The 13,299-nt window shown below is 36.9% G+C and overlaps 1 long non-coding RNA gene across 2 annotated transcripts in view, besides 1 other annotated feature; it reads right to left on the bottom strand.

The window, feature by feature from the left end:
• The window catches only part of LOC107986324 (uncharacterized), a 487,144-nt gene that overhangs the window by 413,838 nt on the left and 60,007 nt on the right, over nt 1-13,299 (bottom strand). The window lies entirely within an intron of this gene.
• Nucleotides 5,365-6,007: an enhancer, noted in NCBI's record as "OCT4-NANOG hESC enhancer chr4:160528774-160529416 (GRCh37/hg19 assembly coordinates)". NCBI's record gives its function as "activates a minimal SCP1, AML or CMV promoter by ChIP-STARR-seq in naive H9 embryonic stem cells {active_cell/tissue: H9 hESC(naive)}" and the evidence as "EXISTENCE:reporter gene assay evidence [ECO:0000049][PMID:30033119]".

Here is a 13,299-nt window from a genome sequence, read left to right as displayed (position 1 = left end):
AGATTTTGTCACCACCAGACCTGCCCTACAAGAGCTCTTGAAGGAAGCACTAAACATGGAAAGGAACAACCAGTACCAGCCACTGCAAAAACATGCCAAATTGTAAAGACCATCGAGACTAGGAAGAAACTGCATCAACTAATGAGCAAAATAACCAGCTAACATCATAATGACAGGATCAAATTCACACAAACAATATTAACCTTAAATGTAAATGGGCTAAATGCTCCAAATAAAAGACACAGACTGGTAAGTTGGATAAAGAGTCAAGACCCATTAGTGCACTGTGTTCAGGAGACCCATCTCATGTGTAGAGACACATATAGGCTCAAATGAAGGGATGAAGGAAGATCTACCAAGCAAATGGAAAACAAAAAAAGGCAGGGGTTGCAATCCTAGTCTCTGATAAAACAGACTTTAAACCAACAAAGATCAAAAGAGACAAAGAAGGCCATTACATAATGGTAAAGGGATCAATTCAACAACAAGAGCTAACTATCCTAAATATATATGCACCCAATACAGGAGCACCCAGATTCATAAAGCAAGTCCTTAGAGACCTACAAAGAGACTTAGACTCCCACACAATAATAATGGGAGACTTTAACACCCCACTGTCAACATGAGACAGATGGATGAGACAGAAAGTTAAAAAGGATATCCAGGAATTGAATTTAGCTCTGCACCAAGCGGACCTAATAGACATCTACAGAACTCTCCACTTAAAATCAACAAAATATACATTCTTCGCAGCAACACATCGCACTTATTCCAAAACTGACCACATAGTTGGAAGTAAAGCACTCTTCAGCAAATGGAAAAGAACAGAAATTATAACAAACTCTCTCTCAGACCACAGTGAAATTAAACTAGAACTCAGGATTAAGAAACACTCAACACCGCTCAACTACATGGAAACTGAACAACTTGCTCCTGAATGACTACTGGGTACATAACGAAATGAAGGAAGAAATAAAGATGTTCTTTGACGCCAATGAGAACAAACACACAACATACCAGAATCTCTGGGACACATTTAAAGCAGTCTATAGAGGGATATTGATAGCACTAAATGCCCACAAGAGAAAGCAGGAAAAGATCTAAAATTGACACCCTAACATCACAATTAAAAGAACTAGAGAAGCAAGAGCAAACACATTCAACAGCTAGCAGAAGGCAAGAAATAACTAAGATCAGAGAAGAACTGAGGGAGATAGAGACACAAAAAACCCTTCAAAAAATCAACTAATCCAGGAGCTGGTTTTTTGAAAAGATCAACAAAATTGATAGACTACTAACAAGACTAATAAAGAAGAAAAGAGAGAAGAATCAAATAAACGTGATAAAAAATGATAAAGGGGATATCATCACCGATCCCACAGAAATACAAACTACCATCAGAGAATACTATAAATACCTCTATGCAAATAAACTAGAAAATCTAGAAGAAATGGATAAATTCCTGGACACATACACCCTTCCAAGACTAAACCAGGAAGAACTTCAATCCCTGAATAGACCAATAACAGGCTCTGAAATTGAGACAATAATTAATAGCCTACCAACCAAAAAATGTCCAGGACCAGACAGATTCACAGCCGATTCTACCAGAGGTACAAGGAGGAACTGGTACCATTCCTTCTGAAACTATTGCAATCAACAGAAAAAGAGGGAATCCTCCCTCACTCATTTTATGAGGCCAGCATCATCCTGATACCAAAGCCTGGCAGAGACACACACACAAAAAAAAGAGAATTTTAGACCAATATCCCTGATGAACATTGATGCAAAAATCCTCAAAAAAATACTGGCAAACCAAATCCAGCAGCACATCAAAAAGCTTATCCAACATGATCAAGTGGGCTTCATCCCTGGGATGCAAGGCTGGTTCAACATACACAAATCAATAAATGTAATCCAGCATATAAACAGAACCAAAGACAAAAACCACATGATTATCTCAATAGATGCAGAAAAGGCCTTTGACAAAATTCAACAGCCCTTCATGCTAAAAACTCTCAATAAATTAGGTATTGATGGGACGTATCTCAAAATAATAAAAGCTATTTATGATAAACCCACAGCCAATATCATACTGAATGGGCAAAAACTGGAAGCATTCCCTTTGAAAACGGGCACGAGACAGAGATGTCCTCTCTCACCACTCTTATTCAACATAGTATTAGAAGTTCTGGCTAGGGCAATCAGGCAGGAGATAGAAAAAAAGGGTATTCAATTAGGAAAAGAGGAAGTCAAATTGTCCCTGTTTGCAGATAACATGATTGTATATTTAGAAAACCCCATCGTCTCAGCCCAAAATCTCCTTAACCTGATAAGCAACTTCAGCAAAGTCTCAGGATACAAAATCAACGCACAAAAATCACAAGCATTCTTAGACACCAATAACAGACAAACAAAGAGCCAAATCATGAGTGAACTCCCATTCACAATTGCTTCAAAGAGAATAAAATACCTAGGAATCCAACTTACAAGGGATGTGAAGGGCCTCTTCAAGGAGAACTACAAACCACTGCTCAACAAAATAAAAGAGGACACAAACAAATGGAAGAACATTCCATGCTCATGGATGGGAAGAATCAATATCATGAAAATTGCCATACTGCCAAAGGTAATTTCTAGATGCAATGCCATCCCCATCAAGCTACCAATGACTTTCTTCACAGAATTGGAAAAAACTACTTTAAATTTCATATGGAACCAAAAAAGAGTCCGCATTGCCAAGTCAATCCTAAGCCAAAAGAACAAAGCTGGAGGCATCATGCTACCTGACTTCAAACTATACTACAAGCCTACAGTAACCAAAATGCCATGGTACTGGTACCAAAACAGACATATAAACCAATGGAACAGAACAGAGGCCTCAGAAATAATACCACACATCTACAACTATCTGATCCTTGAGAAACCTGAAAAAACAAGAAATGGGGAAAGGATTCCCTATTTAATAAATGGTGCTGGGAAAACTGGCTACCCATATGTAGAAAGCTGAAACTGGATCCCTTCCTTACACCTTATACAAAAATTAATTCAAGATGGATTAAAGACTTAAATGTTAGACCTAAAACCATAAAAACCCTGGAAGAAAACCTAGGCAATACCATTCAGGACATAGGCATGTGCAAGGACTTCATGTCTAAAACACCAAAAGCAATGGTAACAAAAGCCAAAATTGACAAATGGGATCTAATTAAACTAAAGAGCTTCTGCACAGCAAAAGAAACTACCATCGGAGTGAACAGGCAACCTACAGAATGGGAAAAAATTTTTGCAATCTACCCATCTGACAAAGGGCTAATATCCAGCATCTACAAAGAACTCAAACAAATTTACAAGAAAAAAATCAAACAACCCCATCAAAAAGTGGGCAAAGCAGATGAACAGACACTTCTCAAAAGAAGACATTTAAGCAGCCAACAGACACATGAAAAAATGCTCATCATCACTGGCCATCAGAGAAATGCAAATCAAAACCACAATGAGATACCATCTCACACCAGTTAGAATGGCAATCATTAAAAAGTCAGGAAACAACAGGTGCTGGAGAGGATGTGGAAAAATAGGAACACTTTTATACTGCTGGTGGGACTGTAAACTAGTTCAACCATTGTGGAAGACAGTGTGGCGATTCCTTAAGGATCTAGAACTAGAAATACCATTTGACCCAGCCATCCCATTACTGGGTATATATACCCAAAGGATTATAAATCATGCTGCTATAAAGACACATGCACACGTATGTTTGTTGTGGCATTATTCACAATAGCAAAGACTTGGAACCAACCCAAATGTCCAACAATGATAGACTGGATTAAGAAAATGTGGCACATATACACCATGGAATACTATGCAGACATAAAAAATGATGAGTTCATGTCCTTTGTAGGGACATGGATGAAGCTGGAAACCATCATTCTCAGCAAACTATCGCAAGGACAAAAAACCAAACACCACATGTTCTCACTCATAGGTGGGAATTGAACAATGATAACACTTGGACACAGGAAGGGGAACATCACACACCGGGGTCTGTCATGGGGTGGGGGGAGGGGGGAGGGATAGCATTAGGAGATATACCTAATGTAAAGGACGAGTTAATGGGTGCAGCACACCAACATGGCACATGTATACATATGTAACAAACCTGCACATTGTGCACATGTACCCTAGAACTTAAAGTATAATAAAAAATAAAATAAAAATAAGCTTCTCCACCACACAGAAATATTCCAAGCCTGTGATAAACCCTCTCACCCTAAAACCAATAAATACTCTTAGTCTGTAGGAGAGAGCACTCTTGACTGAAATCGGCCAGAAGCCCCTCTCAGGTTTATTCTCCAAAATAAAACAGTCTTTTACTCTTGAGCTGCTTTTCATGTTTCTTTCCTCTTCCTTTAACTCTTACAATAATAACTAAATTCACGCTGTGTTTTTTAAATCACAACTAATGGATTTAAACAACAAAAATACTCTAGGATTCCAACTACTGAAGTTCTAACCAACTCAGAAAGGAAGACTTGATAAAGCTTCAAGTCAGTTGCAGCGTGAAGAAAAGATTTCTCACACCTATTTGGAAACCATTCTTCTCTGTATTGATCCTAGGATGCTAACATTCTGTGTTCCAGTTTATTCAATACCCCACACTGTGCCTTATTTAAATTTTACCTCCCTGTGTCTGTCTACCAATGCTCAAAATTTCACACTCATTTTTTTTTACTCTGGCTATTGCTATTCCTAATCGGCTACTTCAGAAATTTAGGAAAAGATGAAACAGTACAAAAGTATACTTAAAATCACTGAAACCGTCAGCCTCGATCTTTGTCACAAATCATACCATCCACTTCTGGTTTTGATTTAAAGTGTTAATAGTTATTCTAATAGAGAAAGACCTTGTGGCTAACTATAAAATTCCATTTCTACTCAGACAGCACCACCTGCAGAGTCATTATGTGATGTTGCAATTCGGAAAACCAAGCAAGCATAGGATTTACTTTGGAGAGTAGGAGACAGAAACAAGAGGTCAGATTCTCACTGGTTATGATATTCTCCTGCCCTACTTTTACACACTGTACTGTAGTTTTCTGTAAGTATATTTTCCACAAAATCGCAATGTCTAGGGCTTCAACAATTCAACTCTATTCACAAACCTTGAAATCTAAAGGCTTAGCTTTAAAATGTCAACTAGAATATAAAGGTATTAAAATATTTTACTACTTATCCTCTTAACGCTGCATGACTTTTTTAAAAAAGTTAACAGAATTATTTACACACTTGGAGAGATGTCAAAACCCAAGCAATACAGAAAGTATATAACTATATAATAGACTGAATTTTAAAAATGTTACTTTTCTAATTTTTGCAATTTCACTCAGTAGCTCCATTTAGCCTCCGTAAGTGGTTAAATATTTTGCATGAAGGAAGTATTTATTAGTTGTTCTCTATAGTACATTAAAAATAGTTCCCTACACCTTTAACTGTTAATTAGCTCAAATATTTGGTTCAGAAACCACAGCCCTGTTTAGTGTGACCTCACTGGTATGGCATCTGGGCAATTATCTTTGAGATAATGAGCCTTTTCATCCATAACAGAACAACAACCTCTCACTTGGATTGCAAAAGATCAGAGCCAATCTGCTGCGCACCAGGGTGCCTGCCATCCCCTTTGTATCATACCTTATTTTCAAACTAACCTTTCACATTCTGAATTAATTAAAGTGTTTTCAGATTAAAAATTAATGAATTCACTTTAGCATCATTTGAGGAAATAATAGGCACAAAATACCATCCAAGCCATGTTTTGGATTCTAATACCACAGCCTAAATGAGAAGATAACTACATCACTTACAGAATTTTCTGACACATGTCATAGTCTAGCCAGATCCTGGTTTGGATTACTTAGAAAAATAAAGCCACAGAAAACATTTAGTGATACAATGTGGTAAATGTTCACTTGGCATTCTGATGTATTCTAATTTCATTCGAAAATGAATTTGGAGGTCACCAAGTTTTCTATCAGATTGTGATGATAAAGTTTCTAACGTTTACCATTAATTCCTACTGCATTCATTTTCTGCCTAGCTACCTCACCAGCTGTTCAAGACTACATTTGTCTCAACTTTTCACACCATGCTAAATGAAAATGGAAGTCAGACCACCAGGACGGCTAGAGAGTAGAAAGGAAAACTTTATTGGTGATACTGGTTTGCAAGCCAGGAAGAGAAAGTATCCAGCATGGACTTCTCTTCAAAGAGAGGAAGAACAGGTTGGGTTTTATGCCTCACAGTGCCAGTATCACACATATTCAGCCGGTTTGGGTGGAAAACTATACATATTTATGAGGGGAGCCAAGTGGATGTGGATTGGGTAAACACGTACGTAACATACATCCCATGCTCACTTTGGGGTGGGGTTTTAGCATTCAAATGAGGTAGAATTTGGCTCTTTATGTCAAAAGATGAACTACAGGACACAAAGATGATTAGTGCTTAACCTCTATAAGCTGGCTGAAACTGCCCTAAGGTCTGTAGTACCTTCTCAGAAAAGAATGTTTGCAATGTTGGCCCTCTGTCCAGCCACAGTAGTAGTGGTCTAGGTTGTAATTCAGCCTGATGACTCCTGTTGTTAGGAGTTTCACAAGTGTGTGGTTTTTCTTATAGTAGGTATTTAGAAATTTGCTGTGGTAACCAGGCCCTGAGCCCTCAACCAAAGGGTAACTTTGTTTTATTAACCTTAGGGCCTATCTTAGCTGTAAAAGGGCATCTACTTTGGTGTCCCAGATCACATTTCCTGCCGCAAAGCATTGTAGGGGACTTAAAAAAAAAAAAAAGTCTTTTCTCACTCATCACTGGGTTCATGGCTGAAACTCCCATATCAAAAGACAGATAAAATTATACTAATTTGTTTAATGTAGGTTTTACCTGACAGAAGAGCCTTCATAAGGAAAGAACGACCCAAAAAACAGGGAAATCTGTGTGTTTTTATGCTAAGTTGGATGAAGAGTGGACAGTTGTGCAGACATACCATTGTTCAAAGGGAATATAATCTAATGGTAATAAACTGGGAGGTCTGGGGGACATTAGCAAGGCTGTTTAGATTTTTGTTGGTGTCTCTGTGTCTTTGAAAATAAGGATATTCCTTTCCTCTTGGTATAAGGAGAGTACCTCTAGAATGAAGGTTTTATGACTTACCTTTTTAAAAAAAAAAAAAAAAAAAAAAACGGAGTCTCTTTCTGTCACGCAGGCTGGAGTGCAGTGGCGCTATCTCGGCTCACTGCAAGCTCTGCCTCCAGGGTTTCTGCCATTCTCCTGCCACAACCTCCAGAGTAGGTGGGACTACAGGCGCCTGCCACCACGCCAGGCTAATTTTTTTTGTATTTTTAGTAGAGACGGTGTTCCACCGTGTTAAGCCAGGATGGTCGTGATCTCCTGACCTCGTGATCCGCCCGCCTCGGCCTCCCAAAGTGCTGGGATTACAGGCATGAGCCACTGCGCCCGGCCTTATGACTTACATTTTTAGAAGTTTAGAGAATTATTTTACGGTCTGCTTCAGGGGAGAAGAGTGAGAGGAAGCTGAGAGTGGCCTTCCCGCTTCTGCTGTTTTCTCACATGCCAAGGTGCCATATTTTGGGGTAGCATGTCCTGAACCCCATAAGAGTCAAGCATTCTTTTCAGGGATTTGCTGGAACCTTCCTTTTTTATAAGGCTGTCTTCATCAGGAGAATTGATATAGACAGATTTCACCTGGGAATATTAAAACTCCTTCATATCAGCTTGAAATGATACAACAATCAGTCCTATTCTCTTCCCCTTTTGTGCTTGCCTTGACTTAATAAGAAGTGAGAGATGTCAAGAAAAGAGATGCTAACCACTCTGCCATCATTCCCTTTGTCTTAGTCAAGTTTCCTTTGGTTGTGAGAAACAGAAATCCACTCAAATTAGTTCAATCACAAAGAAGAAACTTTTTATAAGAGGACTTAGTGTAATCAAGCCTTATGAAGAACTAGATTAAAAGCCTGAAAAAGAATCAGAAACCAAAGCATAACTCTCACTATATATATACATATATATATACACACACATATATATATACATATGTATATACACACACACACACATCACACACACACATATATATACATATATATATGTGTATATATATATATATATATATATATGTGTGTGTGTATATATATATATCTTCACCACCTTCCCCTACCACCCTACTTCTCTTTTTTTTAACGGGCTAATTGTTTTTCTAAAAGTGAATCTGACAGGACCACTTTGGTCTGCTGTGCACTACTGATCCTAGTTGCTTTTGCCAATGAAAGTAATGTCAATCTTAAATAATGAGATTTAGAAAGTATGATTAAGTATAGAGTCTGTTCAAGCACAAAGCTTGAGGATAGCCATCTGGGAAACATGGACTTCAAACAAATGGGGTCAGTGTTTCAAAGCTCAGAAGTTACGTTTCCATTTATGTGGGTAGAGGAAGAGAAGTATTGTAAGATTACATTTTCCAAACAAAACCAGTGCATCCTTTACAGTGATTAGATTGGTTACAAATTGCTAAATTCCAAGGAAGCTTAGTTTATTACCCTGTGAGGAGGGGTAGAGGTCTTGGTTGGGGAGGTCTTATCTCTGGCACCTCTTGATCTTCCTAATTATTTACAGGGCAGAAGTCGCAGTCGCTTGCCACATGACTCAGGCCACATAGCCACATTCCTCTCAAGGCTCAGAATAATTTAAAGTTCCTGCAGCTTTAAATTTGAATTATTTAATTTCACAGTAACAACATAATATCAAGATGGGTGTTGGGGCCTATACCAATGGCCAGGAAGGTGGAGATTAGTTCTCTGAAAATGAGTTTTCTTTGTCTAGGTCATCAAAACAAGCTGTTCACCTGCATATACACATCACTCTGCCTAGGACTAAATTCCAGCAAAATGTGGCATTCAACCTTAGCAGATTTAGCATTAAGTCATGAAAGTTCAGGTGTATCAGAAACCAAACCAGTGGCAAATGACCAACTAATACCTTTTTATTCTACTTTTAAATGTTTTCCCTTCACCCATACTAGAAAAATGTCTAGTACTGATTTTGCCATTGATGAGCCTTAAATTTCAAGGAAGGTAACTGGGAATGCCAAGAATAGTGTTCTCCTTCCACGTTGTAATAGACATGTTGCTATTAGTCTTCAAGATGCAAGAGGGGAATTAGAAATCAAATTCTGCTGGAATAACAATAATACATCTTAAAATCACGCTTAGAAATCTGGCTGATTAAGTCACGTAAAACTCTCATACAACTTATTTGCCCTTTTGAGAAAACTTGTTGCTGTCATCAGCTAATCTAATAAAAAGGTTTTTGCTCACATTAGATGTTATTTATATGCTTATTTTACATGTGGCAGTAAAGTTCCACGTGTGATATAAAATAACTAGAAAATGTTAATAGTTGATTAACAATTAAATTTAAAAAGAGAGCCATCAAAGATAGATTTCATTTTAATGCAGTAAATGTAGAGACTTCACTCAGTTTCATTACTTCTTTTCTAACAATAAATTCTTGCTCTTGGCTATTATTTTTAAAGACAATTGAGTTGAACCTTGTAAGAATTACAACTTTGTATTTTAAGGGACTTTTCCTTTGAGGAGGTCAAAGCAAAGGAATTAAATGCTTTACTCACTTGTATGTAGCTAGGCAATAAAAGAAAGATACTCACTGAAGTACCAGGAAATTCAAGATCTGTGGCTGAAAGCTGTGCATGAGTGATGCAGGGAATGGGACTACATCTGTTTTATAGATAATACCAGAGTTTTTTTACAGGTTGCTTTCAGTTTTGCAGAGCACAATAGAATCTATACAATATTAAGTAAAATGAACATTGATTCTGTGATATTTCCACAGTGGGAAATATTGCCCAATTACTCCTGCCCTACCTTCTACATCTCTCCAATCTTCTTCTATACATCTCCAAGTGGAACTTGGGCTTTGAAATCCATTGCACTTATTAATAACTCCAAAAGGTCCACCCCATGGCTGTGGGTGAAAATCATAGCGCAGGAACTTCACACTATAAAGATAATTCCTATGGTTAATAAATAACAAATTCTGTACTGAGATTTTCTGACCTAACTACAATGCTCACTGGGAGTTGAAGTTATTGTTTACCAATTATTAGACACTGAGATTATGTTAGTATGTTGAATAAGCCATAAATGTCACATTCCAGTTCCTTCTCCTCTAATTGAGAAAACTTAATGTGACCACAGCCTCATAACCCTCATAACCCTTATGCCTAAAAGACAGATCTTTACTCTGCCCTCTTCTCTCTCCCCAGTGTCACCACCTTAGTCCAATCCCCTATTGCCCCACCCTCCAGAACTATGGCCTCTTCACAGGTCTCCTTGCTCTCCTCGTTTCTCTAACCGGAGGCTGGAATGATGCTATACACTTTTTGATCTGCTAATCCCTGGAAAATAGTCCCATCTCTCTGGAGCTGTGGACATTATTTTCCATTCCCTTACTCCTAGAACAGTCAATATTGACTTTAAAAAATAGTAACTAAGAATAATGCATATCTTTGTTCCTTTCCATCTGGAAGAGTCCAACAAGTGTCCTATGGTAAAGAGAGGTCCCTTGTCAGGTAAGTATCACCTAAATTACCCTTACTATACAAGCATCCTTATTAATCCATTGGCATTTCACTGAGACAGACCATACAGGTGGGCTGCTCTGGCAGACTGTAATGACATTTTATTTTTCGTATTGAGCCAGAAAATCTTTGCCAGAAAAGGATCTCTACATTTTATTGAGTGTGAAAGTGTTAGAAAGGTATAAGTCTGCTGTAATTAAAATAGCAAGCCTACAGTCTTGCAGTGTATTCTACATTTAATAATGGCTATACAATCTTAAACAATATAAATGTTTGATGCTGATTAAAATAAAAATATTCTTAACTATGAAAAATCTTTATATTTTAGGGAAAAAAATAATCTTTTTATATTCTTTAGGCAACCAGTATTTAGAATTTCTTTTATCAGCTATGTTGTTCTCATAGTTACAAAGAAGGATTATTATTTTTTGTTTTTTAACTAATCAAATAAGCAGTTAATTTATGCTACTTGCCACCTGCAGTTATTTTATTATGACATTGAAAAGGTGAGAAAATAAGTAATTACTATGCATTGACAATTTCCTTAAGCAATTTAGAAGGGTCCATACATCAGAAATTGTTTTCCAGATCTCCACCATTGCAAGGCTAAAAAATTACATTGAAATTCAGCTATTTAACCTTCATAAATGAAGTAACCTGCACAGCTAACATTAAATGTTTGATTTAATTTACTTGCACAGGTAGCTCACTGAGAAGGCATTTAACTTTAAAATTAATGATATCAGATCTATTCCACAGTGTATGTGCCTCCAATTGCTTTCTACAGCACTGCACAAACTAATATTAAGTTCTCATTTTAGTTATATTCATGGGCAAGAGGGAGACATTATCCTCAATTATCCTGTATAACATCTTTGTCAACTTCAGATGCCTTCCATTTCAAGAGCAGTGGATGAGGAAAGTAGGGGTGAGACAAGACCCAGTTCACAGCAGATAACCTCTGAAAGCAGAATCAAGGAGAAACCTCTTAGAGCCACTCATGAGTGTTGGTTTTTAATTGTTTCTAAGCCAAATGGGCCTCATCCTTTTGATATTTTTACCTTGGCCACCTTTAGGATAATTAGGGGTTTGTTTTTGCACATGTTTCTAAAAGGAGGAAATTTTTATAAAAGTACTAGAAGACATCTTTGGAAAATTTATCCTAATCTCAAAAGAGAAAGGCCTTTCTATGATTAAAAAACTCAGAAGTCATAAAATTAAAAAATAGATAAATGTAACAGCACACACATCAAACATTTCTGCCTGGGCAAAATTCACCAAGCAAAGTCAAAATATATGACAAACTGGAAGAAAAACACAACCATGTCATAAAGAGTTTATCTCCCATTTCAAACATAAAGAGTATCTACAAATCAGTTTCAAAAGTCTAATAACACATTATGCAATTGACAAAAATATATAAGCACTTAATTTACATTAGAGAAATAAATATGTCTCTTAAATGAATGAAACAATGTCCACGTTCACTCATAATAATACAAAGACAAGGATACCAAGATAACTATTATTCATTACTAGACTGGTAAAGATCCAAAGTTTTAATAAGATACCATAGGTGATATTGTACAGCAACAGCCACTCTCATGCAGTGCTGATGGGTATAACATGTCAAAAGTTGTGTGGAAGATAGTTTCCAGTATTCGGCAAAATTATAAAAAAGAAATATATATATATATATACACACACACACACCAAGAATTTCTACTTCTAAGACTATATCATATAGGTTTACTCACACAATAAAGAAAGAAAAAAGATGCATTAAAACATTTTTATAAGAGCAAAAATGAGTAAACAACCTAAATATTCACATTACAGTGGACTGAGTACATAAATTAAGGAATATGCTTATAAGAGAATAATATACTATATAGTCATAGTATAATAGTATATACATAGTATAATAGTATATAATACATAGTATAATAGTATATAATATACTGTACATAGTAATTATTCTATGTATATAGAATATATACATATATTAGAATAATACACTAGTCATTTTAAAAATTATTAAAAAGCTTTTTCTACATTAAAATGAATTGATCTTTAATGTATACTGTTGGGTTAAAAAAAAGAGTAGTATGGGCCAGGCATGGTGGCTCACACCTGTAATCCCAGCACTTTGGGAGGCTGAGACAGGCAGGTCACCTGAGGTCGGGAGTTCGAGACCAGCCTGACGAAAATGGAGAAACCCTGTCTCTACTAAAAATACAAAATTAGCCAGGCATGGTGGTGCATGCCTGTAATCCCAGCTACTCAGGAGGCTGAGGCAGGAGAATCACTTGAACCCGGGAGCTGGAGATTGTGGTGAGCCGAGATGGTGCCATTGCACTCCAGCCTGGGCAACAGAGTGAAACTCCGTCTCAAAAAAAAAAAAAAAAAAAAAAAGAGTAGTATGAAGCAATGTGTGTAATGATAATACGAAAATATTTGTGTTAAAAAATAGAGAAAATATACATTTGATAACAAAGTTATCCAATGTTAGGGACTGAATGTGTCTCCCCTTAAGCCATATGTTAAAATTTAAACCCCAATGTGATGGTATTTAAAGATGGGGCTTTGGAGAGGTAATTATTAATCGATCATGAGAGGGAGCCCTT

Source organism: Homo sapiens, chromosome 4 (genome assembly GCF_000001405.40).
Source record: "Homo sapiens chromosome 4, GRCh38.p14 Primary Assembly".
NCBI lineage: Eukaryota > Metazoa > Chordata > Mammalia > Primates > Hominidae > Homo > Homo sapiens.
Note: the sequence above shows the minus strand (reverse complement) of the source record. Positions and strands in the feature narration are given on the sequence as shown.